An 18,652-nucleotide genomic window follows, 5' to 3' on the forward strand; every position below is an offset into this window, starting at 1 on the left:
TCCAGGGTTCACGTGATTCTCCTGCCTTAGCCTCCCAAGTAGCTGGGACTACAGGCATGTGCCACCACGCCCAGCTAATTTTTTTGCATTTTTACTAGAGATGGGGTTTCACCATGTTGGACAGGCTGGTCTTGACCTCCTGACCTCAAATGATCTACCTGCCTCGGCCTCCCAAAGTGCTGGGATTATAGGCAGGAGCCACTGTGCCCAGTCTATTCTTCTACTTTCAATCTATATTTAAACAGCATATAGTTAGGTATTTTATTTTTTATTTAGTCCAACAAATGTCATTTAGGAGTTTTTAGTCTATGTTTAATGTAACTACTAATATGATTGGATTTAAATTTACCGTTTTGCTATTTGTTATCTATCTCTATTCTCTGTCCTTTGTTCTTTCCCTCCCACCTTCCTTCTTAGTTTGGGTAAAATTTACATTTATATTAGTTATACTTCTTTGGTTCTGTTTTCTATGGGAGGGGGTCTTACTATGTGTATTTTTTTTTTAGATGAAGTTTTGCTCGGTCACCTCAGGCTGGAATGCAATGGCACCATATCAGCTCACTGCAACCTCCACCTCCAGGGTTCAAGAGATTCTCCCACGTCAGCCTCTCAAGTAGCTGGGATTACAGGTACCCACCATCATGCCCAGCTAATTTTCATACTTTTAGTAGAGATGGGGTTTTACCATGTTGGCCACAAGGTCTCCTGACCTCAGATGATCCACCCACTTCAGGCTCCCAAAGTGCTGGGATTACAGGCGTGAGCCACCATGCCTGGCCACTATGTGTATTTTTAACTTACCACAATCTACCTTCAAATGCCAAATTTCTGCATGGTATTCTCTTATTTCTGCCTGTAGAACTCTGAACATTGTTGGTCATTATGAACTACTGGCAGTGAATTATCTCAGCTTTTGCTGATTTCAAAATGTTTCTATTATGCCTTGATTTTTAAAAGATGTTTATTTTAGCATAGAATTCCAGGGTGGCCGCATTCGTCTTTAGTCTCTTTGAAGATGTCATCAGTCATCTGGATTGCATAGTTTCTGCAGAGAAGTCGGCTGTCGTTCTTATCTCTGTTCCTTGACGTCTGGGTTGCATAGTTTCTGCAGAGAAGTCGGCTGTCGTTCTTATCTCTGTTCCTTGACGTCTGGGTTGCATAGTTTCTGCAGAGAAGTCGGCTGTCGTTCTTATCTCTGTTCCTTGACGTCTGGGTTGCATAGTTTCTGCAGAGAAGTCGGCTGTCGTTCTTATCTCTGTTCCTTGACGTCTGGGTTGCATAGTTTCTGCAGAGAAGTCGGCTGTCGTTCTTATCTCTGTTCCTTGACGTCTGGGTTGCATAGTTTCTGCAGAGAAGTCGGCTGTCGTTCTTATCTCTGTTCCTTGACGTCTGGGTTGCATAGTTTCTGAAGAGAAGTTGGCTTTCATTCTTATCTCTGTTCCTTGATAGTATGTTGTTTTTCTCCAGCTGCTTTTAAGATTTTTCTCCTTTTCAGTGGCTTTCAGCAGTTTGTGATGTGTGTCTTGCTGTGTTTTTATTGTATTTTTTCTGCTGGGTGCTTATTGAGCTTCTTGGGTATCTTAGTTTATAGATTTGGAAAAAAATTCTGGCCATTATTTCATCAAATAATTTTTCTGTCCTGTCCTCCTCCTTTTCTAGGGCTCCAATCACATGTGATGGGCCTTGTGGCATTATTCCATGCCCACTTGTGCTTCATTTCTGTCTGTTTCTCCCTGTACATCACTGGGATCACACATAGCTGTATTTTCAGGTTCACTAATATTTTCTCTTGTCGGGTCTAATTTACTATAGTCTCTGCCAGGGTATGACACAGGCAGTGGATGTCAGCCTGTCTCTTTCCCAGCCAACCCAGTGTTTACCTAGTAGAACCATTCACAAACTGGCACTGGAAATAGGGATGGAGATGAGTGTGGATCAATAACAAAGAGCTGACCCATCAACAATAGCCTAGGCTGATGCAGTTATCACTGGACTCCCAACATGTCGGAAGCAGGGTCCCATACTTAGCCCCAGGTACCATTCCTGGGAAAGGGACTAGCCAGCCCCCTGGAGGCAGGTTGATCACACTGGACTCTTCCATCATTGAGGGGAGTATCTCTTGGTTTCAGTTTCCCTTATTCCAGATATGGATATGTCTTTGCTGTCAGTGTTTCTGACAGCACCATCTGTGGGCTTGATGAATGGCTTATTCACTATTGCCCACCTCCTATGGCATTGTTAAGGAATTTACTTTACAGCAAAGGCAGCATGGGAACAGGTACACACTTGGAATCCCTACGTTTCCCATCACCCAGAGGTGGCGAGTCTGATTAAGCATGAGGATGACTTCTTGAAGCTTTAGGTGTGCTGCCCATGGGGAGGCAGTGCCCTAGAACATTGGACTGCCATCCTGATGGATGACATAGTGCCTCGAACTGTGGACCAAGACATGGCACCATTTCATAGCCAGAATAATGTCTGTAATGTCAATGGGTGGAATTAGGACTGGCCCTGCTCACCACCACATCCAACACTTACTGCAGGGTGGCTGGTGCTGCTGTTCAGAAGATCCTTCACCTCCTTTGAGGGGCTCCCTTGCAGGACTGTACGTCTCTGGCTGTTGAATTCAGCTGTGACCACATGGCTTACTGTGGCCAATGAACCAGGAGTGGGCCTGCTGTATTCTGCGTCTGTGCAGCAGATATAGCATCTAGGCAGGCTTGCTTGTCACCTCTTCCCAAAGCCATCTGACTGGCTGAGTCCCAGGAGGGGCTGCTGTGCTGGGCTGGATGCAGATGGTGACATGGAGCAGAGCTGCAGCTGACCTGCCTGGGAGAGACGGGCGAGGACCACATCTGTTTAGCTGACCCTGACATTTTATTGGTTTACATTTGTTACCGCAGCATCAATGATCCCAGGTGGGCTGATAAACCCATTCACATATTTTTGCTTTTCTCGTCTGTGACATTGGGCTCTTTTGCTTTCAAGGTCCTAGTTCCCAAGGCTGGAATGCTCTTACCTGGGACCTCAGTGATCCATCTGCTGCACTGAAAGTTCAGACGGTCATCAGCTATTTGGGGCTGCTCATGCCACTTAGCTAATAGTTCAAGAAAAGCATGCTGTCTTGGTGGGGATGGCTAACCCCAATGAAAGGGCTATCTTGGAGCTCAGTGGATTCTCTAGGTACTTCTCAGGGCTTTCACGACTAATATTGTGACTAATAAAGGCAAGACGACAACTGCATCAGACACACTGGAATGAAAATTTGAGTCCTCTCACTGGGTAAAGAACCCTGACCATCCAAAGTACTGCTTAGGGTCAAGAAAACGTGGAATGGGTAGTGGAAGAAGGAAGGTGTAGCTGCTGATCACAGCCTCACAGCTAGCCACAGCATGAGGACAGTACCGGGCATGCAGGCTGTCCTCTTTGCTTGCTGTGTGTGTGTGAGCATGTGTGGGAGCATATAAGTGTGTGTGCATTAGTGTGAGCATGTGCATGCATGTGAATGTGTCTATGAAGACGTGCATGTGAATGTGCTCATGAGCATGTGTGTACATGTGTAAGCCTCAGCATGAGTGCATGTGAGCATGTGTGTACATGTAAGCCTCAGCATGAGTGCATGTGAGCATGTGTACATGTGTAAGCCTCAGCATGAGTGCATGTGAGCATGTGTGTACATATGTAAGCCTCAGCATGAGTGCATGTGAGCATGTGTACATGTGTAAGCCTCAGCATGAGTGCATGTGAGCCTCAGCGTGAGTGCATGTGAGCGTGTGTACATGTGTAAGCCTCAGCATGAGTGCATGTGAGCATGTGTGTACATGTGTAAGCCTCAGCATGAGTGCATGTGAGCATGTGTGTACATGTAAGCCTCAGCATGAGTGCATGTGAGCATGTGTACATGTGTAAGCCTCAGCATGAGTGCATGTGAGCATGTGTGTACATATGTAAGCCTCAGCATGAGTGCATGTGAGCATGTGTACATGTGTAAGCCTCAGCATGAGTGCATGTGAGCCTCAGCATGAGTGCATGTGAGCGTGTGTACATGTGTAAGCCTCAGCATGAGTGCATGTGAGCATGTGTGTACATGTGTAAGCCTCAGCATGAGTGCATGTGAGCACGTGTGTACGTGTAAGCCTCAGCATGAGTGCATGTGAGCCTCAGCATGAGTGCATGTTAGCATGTGTGTACATGCATAAGCCTCAGCATGAGTGCATGTTAGCATGTGTGTACATGTGTAAGCCTCAGCATGAGTGCATGTGAGCATGTGTACATGTGTAAGCCTCAGCATGAGTGCATGTGAGCATGTGTGTACATGTGTAAGCCTCAGCATGAGTGTATGTGAGCATGTGTACATGTGTAAGCCTCAGCATGAGTGCATGTGAGCATGTGTGTACGTGTAAGCCTCAGCATGAGTGCATGTGAGCATGTGTACATGTGTAAGCCTCAGCATGAGTGCATGTGAGCATGTGTGTACATGTGTAAGCCTCAGCATGAGTGCATGTGAGCATGTGTGTATCATTGTGTGAGCATGTGTGGATGTGAACGTGTTGTGCATATGTGTGTGTGCACGTGAGCCTGGGAGCATGCAAGTCATTTGTTAATTGATTACTCCTTTTCCCACTTCTCAGCATCCCCACTATTTTACACAGGGAATATTAGTGGTGGTAGATGGTGAACTTTGAAACTTAAGTTTTTCATGTCAGAGAATGTCCAGATGGGTTTGTGGCTGTACCAGAGAAACCATTAGTGGCGAGGAAGACTCATGGGTCTCTACTGTTTCTGGGGAAGGTAAAAGCACCTGTGTTGGGTGGTGTGAGTACAGCACTGTGTTGGAAGATGTCTGAGTGTGTGACTTACTTGTGGACACAGAGCAGCTATGGGTGGGCAGTGCTGGTCCTTCACTACCCCGTTTGCCCTCAGCCCCACTTCTCACATTCCCGAGCTCTGCTTCATGGCCCAGGGGGCCTCTCCTCCCAGCCAGCTTCTGGTTAGGATCAGCATACGGCAGCAGCAGGTGCAGCTGTGTCAACTCTTGCGTGAACACCGGGGGTGGGTTTGCTTTTTCCTGAGGGTCCCACCTTCATTTCTCCTGGCTCCAATGCTGAGTGGAGAACTGAACACACAGAAGCAGAGGCATGTTCGATGACAAACACGTGTGCTGCAAACCACACGAGTTACCCTGCTGTGCACCTCCCTGGGTGCACCCGCCGGGCACGGCCACCCTGCCCACAGCCGGCACCTGGAGCCAGACGCTCCTCCTTCTCGGTCTCACACCAGCCGCATCTTAGCAGCAGCTGCCCCATCCAGTGCTGATGTGAGATGTGCAGATCTAGTTTTTGTTTTAACCCTTGCTTTACTTGAAAACTTGGACATATTCAATCAATTTCAACGGCAGTATTCATGTATTAAAAATGGCAGATGCATACAAGCATGAAGAAGTAAAAATTGCTGTTGCTTGAAATAATGTCATTTTGGTGCACATTCTCTCTCACTGAGTGAGGTCAGACTGCACAGCTCCCTGGTAGCCCATGTCTGAGACTTACCTTCCTGAACAACGTAACGATTCATTTTTCACCCTCCCAGTATCCCCCATAATTGTACACAGGGAAATGAGTGGTGGTGGATGGTGAACTTTGAAACTTCGTTTTTCAAAGTATTAAAAAGGAGAAACACCTGCAGATTGGCCATTTGCAGGCTTTTCTCCTTAAGTTTTTCTTCCATCCTTGACGCTGGTGGAGACACAATCTTGATTCTTCACGTGCAGTTTTGGAGAGTGTAACAGGTGAGCTCGGTCTTTTACCTCTAGTTCCAAACCTTTTACTGACTCAGTAGGACTAAATGCCAGATCCATTTTTCTCTCTGCTTGACAAAACACGCTTAAGGTGCATGTGCTTAAAATTGAGAAATTACGTAAGTCAACCCACCAGGCAGGCAGCCAGCCATCCATGTTTCAACTCTGTAAGATGTCTGCTACTGTCCGCAAAATACCAGAACACTCCGGAGCGTCCCTTTGCCACCAAGACAGCTTTTTCTACAGAATTTCAATTCTTGTGTTTTCCAAACATGCTAGAACCACACCAAGAAAATCTCATCTGGATTGGCTCTCCTCTCACAATGCCTGTTGTTGTCTTTCTAATAAAGAACCACACAAAACAACATCATTCCCAAGTATAGACTTTATGTTTTACTTATTCCATTGAAAATCCCAAGTTCCTTCATGGCAACCCTCCCTCTGCCCTCACACCCCAGCAGGTCCCCGCAGGCCAGGGCCCATGCCCCACCTGCCCACGGGTCTGGCCCCCAGGCCACCAGGGGCCCGCTGCGTCCTGTCTCACACACAAGGGGTTTAACTCAACGCTATGTACATTCACAGTTCCGAATATCCGCCAACTCTAAGTCGCCACGAAGAGAAAAGAGAATCAGGAGGAACAAACATCCATTCAAAGTCTGTTTATCAGAGATTTTTTTTTCTGAAAATGCACAGTGGCATTTCATTCAAAAAACCCTTCATCTGCAGACCTGCGGAAGGGAGGTGGCCTGGGTCCCTTCCCTCGGAATATCTTAGTTTATTTACCTCCTTCATTGGCCATTTGCAGGCTCTTCTCCTTGAAAAATGAATCTTTACGCATTCTCCAATTATAAAATCAGTGACTGTTAGCTACCAAAGGCTGCACTAGGATTTCTTCTGTGTCCAACACGCCAAGAGCCCTGAAATTGACTTCGGTTTACTCCATCCCTGTCTGTCCTGCTGGCAGTGTCCATGCTAAAAAACAAGTCGAGGTGATTGATTGAAACGGAGCTGAAGGTTGTTTTTAAATGTCTGTCAGTGGAGAAACGCGTATCACGAATCTCTGAGGAAGTTAGTAAACATTTTTTCCCGTACTTACTGGCCTTGGTGGTCACTTTCTATAGAGATGCCCCAAATATAAAAATCAATTCATTTCAGAAATCAAAAAAATTTTCCAAACAAACCCGGAGCCTTTGCTTTAGGAAGCAAACTCAAGTCTGTGATGATTATTGTGCTTGAAGGATGGGTTTCTAATTCTGTCATAAAAAATGATGAAACAAGGTGATGTCAGAGGGACTTCAGGTGACACCAAAATACCCCATCCAGGGCCTGGAAGCCCCTCTGCCTTTGACTCTAAGATGGGGCAGGACCCCCGCTCTCAGTGGGATGTGCCCGCGACCCTGGCGCTGGGAGGCAGTGCTGCAGAGAGGAGTGGTGTCCGCACGGCTGTCACCAGACATCCTCATCACCCTCCGCACCGCACAGCCCAGCGTCTCCTTCCACAAGCAAAAGACTGCGGCTCCTCTCTCTGCAGGAAGGTCAGCCATACTCGGGTGGCAGCGTGACGCCAGTCACCATGGAAACCAGGGCTGACAGGAAGATGCAGCCGCTTCCAGCAGGGACCTGGCCTGAGGGCAAGGGAGGAGCGGCACGGCGGCGGCTGCCTTGCGCTTCCAGCTCGGGCCCTGCTCATTTGAACAATATCCAACCTCGGACTGGAGTTTAGGCTACAGTGAAATGGATTACGTTATGCCGAAACAGAAACATCAAACTGCCAACGTTTATAAAAAAAGAGGGGACTGGAAAAGGATTAAGAAAAGCAGAAAAAGTGTTTTGGGGCTAGGCCCTTGAGTTCACACCTCCCCAGGGGACCCAGCGGAAGGAGAGGGATTACCTGCTGGAGAGAGGCCTGATGGAAATTTAAGTCAAAGCCCAAACAGCCTCAGATTCTATATTAAAAAAAAAAAGGCCTATAAATAAATATCCTTTGACTCTAAAAGGAAAAATGAAGTAGAAAAACAATTTTCATTTTTTAAAAAATGCTGCATGTTTCCTGAAGTACCTAAATGGAGTTTATAAAATACTCATGAGCTCCAGCACACAGGTAGAAACACTGAAAAATCAGGTGACGGCTCGGCTCTGCCAGGCTGTGGATCCACAGAGGCAGACAGGTTTCGTGCCAGAGTGACACGCAAGCGCACGCTGTGTGGCAGGCGTGTGCTGAGTGTGCACGGAGGCCCGCCCGGTGCACGCTGCCGCCGGAAGAGGCTGTGACAGAGACTCGAAACCAGGGCCCCGTGGGAGAACACGGGGCGGCACCGGTGCCCCCCGCCCGGCAGGGAACCTGACCCCACGGGGTCCAGGCCAGGCGGGGGATCCGCGTGCGCGCCCTCCGATTCTCGCACAGTAAGCGTCGGTTCTGCAACACACTTCACAAAGGAACAAGATACAAACAGCCCCCGAGGCCCCTGGAACTCGGGCTGAAGACAGTGCCTGTACAGCAGGAGTGAGGAGCGGAGCCCAGAGGTCACTCGCAAAGAGGCTCATGGCGGTGATGTCCACGCGGGAGGGGCCGCGTCTCTCCGCAACCCTGGGTCCTAATCCAGCTTCTTGCGAACAGGCTTCCGCCCAGCGTCTGAGTTTTCCGGGCTGAAATCGGCACAGAAGCCGTTTGGGATTGGCGCAGGTGAGGTCTCTGCACAGCTTTCGAAATGTGTCTGATCCGGGTACAGGTATTCCTCTGCGAAGGCAGGGTACATTTCTGCAAACCTGTGGAAGTCAGCTGGAAAGACAAAGGCACCTGTGGTTATGGAATGGGGACGAGCAAATGTCTAGGATTTGGAGGCTCTTTTCCCACGGCCCTGGTGGGTGTCCACCTCACGCCCTCCAGGGAGGGTTAGAATCGTCTGTGAAACGGATGCTTTCAGGGTGGAGAGAAGAACTTGCGCTTACTTTCTTTGCAGCGCACGAAGTCACCCTGACAACCGGGGCAGGCTGGGTGTCCTCCTAGCTACTCCTGCTTTTGGGAAACCCTACAGAAAGCTTCTGGTTTTGAATTCGACAGATATATCCCGGGGACTTAGCACTTCTGAGGCACTGTAACCAGAGAAGCTGGCTCAGGGACAAGACCAAGTGTCTGGACAGTGATCTGGCGCTCTGAGGGGGTGCCCTCGTCCACCCTGGGAGACCCGGTAGGCAGGGGGCCGTCCTCACAGAGCCTCGGACTGCACTTCCTGGCCGCTGTGCCTGGCTCTCATGTGAGCGCCCTCGGCTCCTACTGATGGCGCCATGGAGGCTTCTGGTGGGGCTGGAAAGATGGTGCAGGGGGCTGGTCATGCTAGGCCGCTCCAGAAACACTCAGAACCTGGGCCACCCGGCGAGAAATCCAGGGATGGTTGTTACTGGAAATTGCAGCTGGTCGGTGCCCACTACAAACATCAAAGAGCCCGAACACACCAAGGAGCATTGCACACTTTCAAAATGGAAACAAGCGCACGCATGCACACATGCAAACACACACACACGGTAACCAAACACACATGTGCGCACACACACAAAACAAGCACACACACGGTAACCACACATGCGTGCACACACACACACACAAAAGCACGCACACACACGGTAAACAAACACATGCGTGCACACACACAAAGAGCACACACGGTAAACACACATGCACGCAGACACACACACACAAAACAAGCACACACACGGTAACCAAACACACGTGCGCGCACACACACAAAACAAGCACACACACGGTAATCACACATGCACGTACACACAAGTGTGTGCACACACAGTAAACACATGCGTGTACACACAAACAAGTGCACACACACACTAACTAAACACACATGCGTGCACACACAAAACAAGCACATGCACACACATGGTAACTACACACATGCACGCACACATACAAAACAAGTGCAGGCACACAATAACATGCACACACACAAAACAAGCGCAGGCACACTAAACACACATGCGCACGCACAAGTGCACGCACACACACGGTAACACACATGCGCATGCACACATGGTAACCACACACATGCACACACACACAAAACAAGCGCAGGCACACGCGGTAACTAAACATGCATGCACACACACAAAACAAGCGCACGCGCACACAGTAACTAAACACACATGCGTGCACACACACAAAACAAGCACACGCACACAGCAACTAAACACACATGCCCATGCACACACACACACGCACGGTACTAAACACATGTGCGCGCACACACAAAACAAGCGCAGGCACACAGTAACTAAACACACATGCGCACGCACAAGTGCACGAACACACACGGTAACACACATGCGCATGCACACATGGTAACTACACACATGCACACACACACAAAACAAGCGCAGGTACACACAGTAACTAAACATGCATGCACACACAAAACAAGCGCATGCGCACACAGTAAACACGTGTGCACACACACAAAACAAGCACACGCACACAGCAACTAAACACACATGCCCATGCACACACACAAGTGCACGCACACACACGCACGGTACTAAACACGTGCGCACACACACAAAACAAGCACAAGAGCACAGACACGGTAACTAAACACGTGCGCTTTCAAAATGGAAACAAGCATGCACATGCACGCACACACACAACACACATGCACGCTTTCAATACTGAAACAAGCATGCACATGTGTACACAAACGTGTGCACACACGGTAAACATGCACACTTTCAATACTAAAAGAAGCACGCACATGCGTGCACACACGTATGCACACGCACGGTAACACACGTGCACTTTCAGTACTGAAACAAACGCACACAGGCGCACACGCACACACACGTGTGCACACACACGGTAACTAAGCACACATACATGCTTTCAATACTGAAACCAGTGCGCACATCCGCACTCCCGCCTCCGGCTCCCGCACAGACGCTGTGCACGCAGCTCTCTCGCGTGTCTTCTCGTTTGCTCTAAGACCACCCTTCCAGGTGGGGATTGCGGCATCCACTGGGATGAGCCAGGCCAGGGCCTGCAGCCCTGGGAGCCTCGGGTGGATGCAGCGTAGCTCATTCACACTGCAGGGGAGGGAGGCGCCCCGGGCTCGGGTTTGCGGATTTTGCACAGCAATTTAAAAATATCAACCGCCATTACCGACAGCTCGTGCTCTGGAATCAGCCGTGTTACCAGTCACCTCATCAGATGTCCACAGACAGGTGACTTTTCTCGGGAGGAAGTCGCCCTGGGCGGCACGGGGGTCTGCAGCGCCCGCCTCCTCGTCTCTCCTGACAGACCCCTCCCAGGAGAGGGGGGATGTGAGCCACACCCCGGCTGGCAGTGACAAAGCCCACAGCCAGTGGCCTCGAGGGCTGGGTGCGGGTATCCCCCACCTCCAGGCACCTGAATCCCAGCCTGAGGCCATGGAAGGCTCAGAGCTTCGGAACTGGGCTTGGAGTTTGGTTGTATAAATCGCCAAAACAAATCAGATTGGAAAGCTCCCTACGAACGCTGCCAGGTCTCCAGAACCTTCCTTCTCAGGGGTTTCTTTGTTACACAGGGCAGCCTGGTGAATGGAGGCATGGCGGGGACTCCACTCCTGTCCTGGGCTCCCACGGAGACTCGCCCCACACTCTGTCCAGCCCCCGCCCAAGGGTCGCGAGGACGACCCCACTCCTGCGGGCTCACCGAATGTGATCTTCCCCTTCTCCTCTTGGTCAATGGCTCGGAATAGGTCGGTCACGGTGAGCTCTGCCACCCCCAGGGCCGTCTTGAGGATGCAGGACAGGTCACCTTCGCCGACGCTGCCGTCCTCTTGCGCTCCGTACATCTGCAAGGCAAACTGGGTGTCACCTTGCAGCCTCCTCCCCTGCCCACCAGGCCCCGCTGTCCAGGGACACCCCAGCGGCCCTGCCCCGCTTTGTCAGAGCTGCTGGGCACCTGCAGGGCCGGCGGCTGGACACGGGGGACTCGAACTTCCATGTGGAGCCATGCAGCAGGGCCCTGTGCCTTGGATCTGGCCCCCTCCAGGTGCCTCGTGGACACACAGCAGATGCTTCTCGGGCAAGGGCTCAGACGCTGCCCACCCCACCCGTGATAGCTCAGCAAACCAACCAGCACCTGTGGCTGCCACTGGGAGGCCGCGGAAGGGTCCTGCCTGGGCCACGGGCGAGCGCGGCGCAAGCTTGGGCTGCAGAGTTCCCCCACGGCCCTCTGCCTCCGTGAGTGCAGGCTACAGCAGACGTGTTCACAAGCATCAGTAATAACATGAAAAAGCCCTGATGGTTAGAAATCGACAGGGCAGATCAGGAGCAGAAATGAGAAGGACCTGGGAGGGCCGGGAGGGCTCCAGCGGGGAGCGGGAACCAGGACCCGGGCTCTCTCCTGAGCCTCACAGGTGACGCCTCCTCTCTTCCTCCTGCTCCAGGTGTGGAAGCGGCGGCTCCGGCCCTCTCTGTGCAGGGCCCAGTGCCGAGGCGCCTGCCGCCCGCTCCCCACAACTCCACGGCGCTCCCCTCCCTGGCTCCACAGACTCTGTGCCCTGGAGATCCCCCAGACCCCTTGATCAGGGCCCGCCCATCCCTTTGTCCCTCTACCTCCTTGGAAACACTTCGGCTCCCTGTGGGGTGCAGGGTCCTGCCCCAGCCCTTTAGGCTCGAGCCTGGCCCACGGGCTCTGTGGCAGCGCTTTCCTCTGAGGTCCCGACGCCGCCCGTGTCCTTCCGCTCCAACCCCTGGGCTCCCTCAGATGGGCCAGCTCTTCTACCTGGTTCTTCCCCGAGTCCTCTGCCTGGGGCTGCACCATCCCCCGCCGCCCTCTCTCTGCCTGGGGTCCACGGTTCCTGGGGCTCCGACGGGGCCGTCGCCCTGACTCCGAGTCCCCTTCTCCTGCTGCAGCGCGCTGTGATCTTGTGAGCGTTTGCTCCACCCTCCGAGAAGTGGGCTGCCTGGGAGGGGCGTCGCCTCTCTTCAGGGAGGGGCTGCGCCTTCACCTCCACCGGCTCCTCCTTGCGGTGCTCAGGGAAGAAACGCTGACGCCTCCAGCCTTCCGGCCTGGCAAGCTGTCCCCGCGTTCACACCCTCTTCCCGGGGCTCTGCCTCTACCCCATGGACCGGGTCTGCTCCAGGCTCTGGAGACCCCATCCTCACCCTCCACTCTCCCTCCCCTGGGCCTCATCCCACAGCGCTGCCGCACGCGGCCACCCTGTCTTCTGTGGTCTACGTTTCTCTCCTGCTTTTAGATTTGCTGAATCAAACATCTGCAGACGAAATCCACGTTGGTGCTGCTGGAGCCTCAGAACGGGCCGGGTCAAAGCTTCAGGGCCACGGCCTCCAGCTCCTCGGCCGACCTGGATCCCACTCAGCCCCCAGAGAGCAGTGCCTCCTGCCCCCTAGTGGTTGCAAGGCTGCTTCAGAGGGGACAACCTGACATCTGTGTCCATTTGGACATGAGAACTGCAGATGCAGACTTTCATCCTCGGAGCCTCGTGTAGATGCTGCACGGGAAACGCAGAGGTAGGACTGAGGCTACCACAGGCAACAGACTTCAGGTTCTCACTGTCCACTCTCTGAGCCGCTGGAAGTTTTACCAGGGCCACATCTTAAGGTTTTACACAGTAATGATAACGAAAAAGAACAAAAACAAGGGGCCCCAAGGCGTATGAAGCACATCGGTGCGCTGCGCATCCGGAGTCCTGAGCACCGGCGTGTGCCTCTGGGGTCCTAGGTGCTAGGAGTTCTGTGTCCACAGTCAGCCTGGGGGGCAGCTTCCTGGATCTCTGTGTCCCAAGAGCAGCACGCTGGTGCACTTGCCACGCTCTCTCACACGAGACTGCTCCGTGGAAGCCCTTCCTGCTACATGCAGTCCCCCCAAAATGTGCCAGGCTCCCAGAGCAGCAGCAAAGCACAATGGCCATGACTTCAGGAAATGATGACACCATGAAAGGTATAGGCTGCAGAAAGGGACATGGGGAAGCAGCCTGCAAGAAGGTGGGAGGAAGGCAGGGCATATGCCGTCAGGGCGGAGCTGCTGAGGGTGGAGGTGAGGCGGGACCCTGGTGTCGCCGTGGGGACGCAGCCATATCAGCGGCCTGGAAGCCTGTGAGAAGTGATCACCCATCCTGCCCCCAGGTGGTCACTGTAGGGCAGCCTAGGCCTCACCCATCGCCTGGTTCACCTGAGAAAGACCTCCTAGTGGCACATACCCCACCCCAAGCAGGGACCCGGTGCACACTGTCCTCCCCAGTGGGCGTCCTCAACCCTACCACAGCCAGTTACCCTGCCCACCTGCAGGTGGGGCCTGTGCAGGAGGAAGGTCGGGCTCCACAGCCCATTGTTCATGTTGAGAAACAAGGCAACTGCCACCCCCACCGCTGCTGTCATTCGTTCCAGGTTATACTTGGTGGCTCTACAGCAGGGGCTGGTGGGGCCAGCAGAACGGGGGGCGGTGGCTCATGCCTGTAATCCCAGCACTTTGGGATGCTGAGGTGGGCGGATCACTTGAGGCCAGGAGTTTGAGACCAGCCTGGCCAACATGGTGAAACCCTGTTTCTTCTAAAATTACAAAAATTAGCTGGGTTTCATGGCACGAGCCTGTAATCCCAGCTACTTGGGAGGCTGAGGCACGAGAATCACTTGAACCTGGGAGGCAGAGGTTGGTTGCAGTGAGCCAAGATTGCACCACTGCACTCCAGCCTGGACAACAGAGCGAGACTCCATCTCACAAAAATTAAAAAAAAAAAAACAACAGGGCACAGTGAAAGCAGGGCCAGCAGGGGCCGCAGGGCCACAGGGCCTGGCTCAGATCAGGGGCCCTAGGAGGCAGGCTGCCCAGGCCTGGAGGAGGCAGGGAGGTCAGGCTTTCTTACACAGAGCTGCCAAATGTTGAGGTCATCGAGTTCATCCTGCCTGGGGAGACCCCCACAAGCCACCTTTTCATGTGGGGACATTCCCCAGTGTTGCTATGGAGAGGGTGTGCTGGCATCAGAAGCAAGAGAAGGGAGTTCTTGGAGCGGTGAGAGACATGCAGCTTCTTGACTCACACATCAGGCCCTTGAGAGTCTGGCTAATGTGAGTCACACCCTGTGAGAAGCCTTGGTAAAGTTGTGCCTCTGTACAGGCAAAGCCGGCCCAGCTCTATCCCAGATGAAATCCACATTGGTGCTGCTGGAGCCTCAGAATAGGCCAGGCCAAACCCTCAGGGTTACCTGGCCTCCCGCCCTCCAGGCCTGACCCAGACCCCACTCAGCCCCCAGGGAGCAGCGACTCCCTGTGGTGAGGCAAGTCCTGAGGGCTTCCCAGGAGTCTGCAGCTGGGCTGGGACCCCAGACTCCCCCAGTGGTGATGACTGGGCTCTGACATGTTGTAGCCCCTGGGGTTAGCTGAGGTGGGCAGCTCCTAAGCCGTGCTTTCTTCACCAGTCCAGTCTGAGGGGGAGAGAGGACAAGGTGTGTGGCCCCTGTGTTAGGTGCCCTGTAGTGTGTGATGGTGTGTGACACCACCAGCCCCACCCAGGTGCCCCAGGACCCAGGAAGAACCTCAGCCATGCTTTCTGATGAGTGTGGATTGCTAATCCAGGAAGAAATAAATCTGGGAGTTTTCTGGGCATTTTACAAACAACAGCTAGCATAAAAAGCTTACGTAAAAATAGCAGTTGGGCAAATGATCAATTAACTGATATTATAAGGAACTAGAGAAATGAACAATGGTGCTGACGTGACTGCACCGCCCTGTCCCCCAGTCAAACCCATGTGAACTCTGCACTCACCTTGAAAGCCAGCTGGATGGTGTCCAGGGTCCGGGCCGGCCGGCAGACGACAGACAGGGCAACCACACACTCTCGCAGGTCCACCTCGCCGCTGCCGCTCTGTGGGGAGAGACGCTCTCAGCCACAGCTCGGCCGCCTTCGGCACTGGAGAAACGCCAGGGTTTCCCATGGGTGCTGGTGTTAATTAAAGGCCAGTCCCACTCTCACTCGGGAACATCTGCCCATGTGAAAAGGGAATCTTGGAAGGACATTCCACCAAGTGGGTTCTCCAAGGTCACTGTGCTGTGTACACTTCTTGGGGCCATTACAGTGACTTCCCAAAGTTCACAAGGCTGCCACAGGAAGCACCTCAGCAAAGCACACGCGATGCAATGCCTGCCACCTGCCAAGACCTGCATTTGAGAATACCCCCTAAGCACCAAGGCTGATTCTGGGCTCTAGGAATTTGGTCTGTTTATGGCAACCCATTCATCCTGCAGAAAGAAGGTGAACCCGGAGCTGTGACGTGGAGCTAAACAGCAGCCCGGGCCAGCTGTGGAAGCCAGTCAGCCCCGCGCTGACCATTCTCAGTAACTCCTCACACCCAGAGTCTCCAGGGACATGCTGATGTGAGTGAGCAGGGTGGTGAGAGGCACAGGTGGGGGCTGACAGGGTCTGCACTTCTGATGACGATGGGGACAGTCTGCACGTGGCTGCAGGGTGTGCCCAGGCCACAGGAAAGAACCTCCCAGGTCAGGGCGGGAGGAGGTGAGGAGCACCCTGGACAGGGGGAAGACTCTCTGGTCAGACAGCAGGAGATGAAGGGCAACCAGGAGTGGAGGGAGGACTCCCTGGTCAGAGAGCAGGAGGAGGTTCCAGGAAGAGAGCAGCAGGAGCATCCAGGGGTAGAGGGAGGGCTCCCAGGTTGGAGAGAACAAGAGAAGGTGGGGAGCACACAGGATAGGGGGGAGGACTCTGGCCAGACAGCAAGTGAGAAGCACTCAGGACAGGGGGAGGACTCTGGCCAGAGAGCAGGAGGTGAGGAGCACCCAGAGGCAAAGGAAGGACTCCCTGGCTGGAGAGAGCAAGAGAAGATGAGGAGCACCCAGGAGAGGGGAAGAATTTTGGCCAGAGAGCAGGAGGTGAGGAGCACCCAGGACAGGGGGAGGACTCTGGCCAGGCAGCAGGAGGTGAGGAGCACTCAGGAGCAGAGGGAGGACGCTCTGGTCAGAGAGCAGGAGGAAGTGAGGTGAGGAGCACCCGGGGCAGAAGGACTCCCTGATCAGAGAGCAGGAGATAATGAGCACCCAGGATGGGGGAGGACTCTGGCCAGAGAGCAGGTGAGGAGCACCCAAGGGCAGAGGGAGAACTCTGGTCAGAGCAGGAGGAGGCGAGGTGAGGAGCACCCAGGGGCGGAGGGAGGACTCCCTGTTCAGAGAGCTGGGGGTGAGGAGCACCCAGGGGCAGAGGGAGGACTTTGACCAGTAGTTGCCCCTCTACGCTTGTGTCAACCACAGGCTGTAGGTGCTAGGGGTGAGACGCACACAGGTCCCTGAAGGTCTTCTGAGGGAACTGATAGCTTTCTTTGTGCTACGCCACACCCCTTGCAAGGCATGGGGTACTGGGACTGGGGCTTGGGTGTCTGGCAGGTGGAAATGACTACAAGTCCCTGGCTCTGGGAAGGTCTCGGGCTGGGGGTCTGAGGTCCTGGGTGTAAATGGAGAATACTCCTATCTCATAAGATCATGTGCATCTGAAATTGCAGAAAATAAAAAATTAACTGCACAGTGTCATAAGTTACCTCGGAACGCTGCCTGTGAAACCAGGAATGCTGCCTGTGAAACCAGTATTCACCATTTCACGTTTCAATTCCAACACTGTGGTAAAGCGCCTGAGTGCAAACGCAGCTGCAGATGTGGCACGGACACCAGGAGGGACTCGCATCCGAGACGCTGTTTGCAGCTGCCTCGTAGTAGAGGGCCCGCGGCTGGGGGCCCCTTACGGACACTAGGCAGGACTCGCATCCGAGACACTGTTTCCAGCTGCCCTGTAGCAGAGGGCCCGTGGCTGGGGGCCCCTCTGGTGCGTGTGGGAGAATGCCCTGAGCCACGCACTGTGATCCTTGGTTCACACTCTGCATACTTGCGGGGCAGCCTCCTTCCCCTGTCCTGGGTGCTCCTCATCTTCTCTTGCTCTCTCCAACCAGGGAGTCCTTCCTTTGCCTCTGGGTGCTCCTCTCTCCTCTCTCCTGCTCCTCCTGCTCTCTGGCCAGAGTCCTCCCCCTGTCCTGAGTGCTCCTCACCTGCTCTCTGGCCAGAGAGGCCTCCTGCCAGCCCGGGTTCCACCCAGGACTGCACTGCAGCTGCTCCGTGTTGGTGCAAAACATATATGGTGCTGTCACACGGGACATCTCATGCTGTCACGGGACAGTCATGGCTGAAGGAGCCTTCTACACACACCCTGGCGTATCACCAGCTCCTCCAGGACCACAGTGTAAGTGTCCATGCTGTGACACTAACACCCAGAAAAGACCAGGATTGGCTGACCTGTGGCTCGCCGTGGCAGCCTGTCCCGCCCCTGCGTGCCACCTCGCACCTTCCTAAAACCCCGAGGCTGCCCGCCATGTTCAGGGCCACCTGGTGTGACCGTGGATGCCTCATCAATTACGACGAGGACCTGGGGATGACGTGCGGAGGGCAGAGGGGAGTGGGCGGCTGCACCAGGAGGAAGCCCTCCCACACCCACAGGCTGGCGGGGAGCCTCTAAGCCGATCATAGAGGACGGGCGTGTTATTAGAAACTCTGACGCTGCAAAGAGCAGCTCTGGTGAGCAGGGGACCCTGCAGGGGGTCCCTTGGAGACCCCAGGCTGGGTGTCACAGTTTGATATTGTTAGACTCCGTAATCACACTGAAAAACCCCAAACCACAGGCACATTCATCAGTGAAGGGTAATTTAAACGTCAAATGTGTACGCGTATTTAAAAGCATGGAAGGAAATACCTCAAAATGATAGGGTGGGGTGGTGATGGGTGGTTTTCCTTCTCTGCTTTCAAATTCATGTGAAAATATATTTATATTAGAATGAGAACAATTTATGCTTCAAAAAGCAG

At 53.3% G+C, this 18,652-nt stretch overlaps 1 protein-coding gene across 5 annotated transcripts in view, besides 3 other annotated features; it reads right to left on the reverse strand.

Moving 5' to 3' along the window:
- Positions 606–1,805: an enhancer, noted in NCBI's record as "BRD4-independent group 4 enhancer chr5:1455983-1457182 (GRCh37/hg19 assembly coordinates)". NCBI's record gives its function as "activates an origin of replication core promoter dependent on BRD2, P300/CBP, MED14 and CDK7 cofactors, and independent of BRD4, by STARR-seq in HCT116 cells {active_cell/tissue: HCT116}" and the evidence as "EXISTENCE:reporter gene assay evidence [ECO:0000049][PMID:35650434]".
- LPCAT1 (lysophosphatidylcholine acyltransferase 1) overlaps positions 6,165–18,652 on the reverse strand; it is a 62,534-nt gene continuing 50,046 nt past the window's right edge. For all 5 annotated transcript variants that reach the window (NM_024830.5, XM_005248373.4, XM_047417763.1 and 2 more), the window contains 3 exons: positions 15,564–15,662; positions 11,487–11,628; positions 6,165–8,573 (listed from right to left, as the gene is read on the reverse strand). In NM_024830.5, coding sequence (NP_079106.3) covers positions 8,389–8,573; positions 11,487–11,628; positions 15,564–15,662 — 426 coding nt within the window. In that variant the 3' untranslated portion in view covers positions 6,165–8,388. The remainder of the gene's footprint in view (positions 8,574–11,486; positions 11,629–15,563; positions 15,663–18,652) is intronic.
- Positions 9,547–10,376: an enhancer, noted in NCBI's record as "H3K4me1 hESC enhancer chr5:1464924-1465753 (GRCh37/hg19 assembly coordinates)". NCBI's record gives its function as "activates a minimal SCP1, AML or CMV promoter by ChIP-STARR-seq in naive H9 embryonic stem cells {active_cell/tissue: H9 hESC(naive)}" and the evidence as "EXISTENCE:reporter gene assay evidence [ECO:0000049][PMID:30033119]".
- Positions 11,660–12,160: an enhancer, noted in NCBI's record as "H3K4me1 hESC enhancer chr5:1467037-1467537 (GRCh37/hg19 assembly coordinates)". NCBI's record gives its function as "activates a minimal SCP1, AML or CMV promoter by ChIP-STARR-seq in primed H9 embryonic stem cells {active_cell/tissue: H9 hESC(primed)}" and the evidence as "EXISTENCE:reporter gene assay evidence [ECO:0000049][PMID:30033119]".

Source organism: Homo sapiens, chromosome 5 (assembly GCF_000001405.40).
Source record: "Homo sapiens chromosome 5, GRCh38.p14 Primary Assembly".
Taxonomy (NCBI): Eukaryota; Metazoa; Chordata; class Mammalia; order Primates; family Hominidae; genus Homo; species Homo sapiens.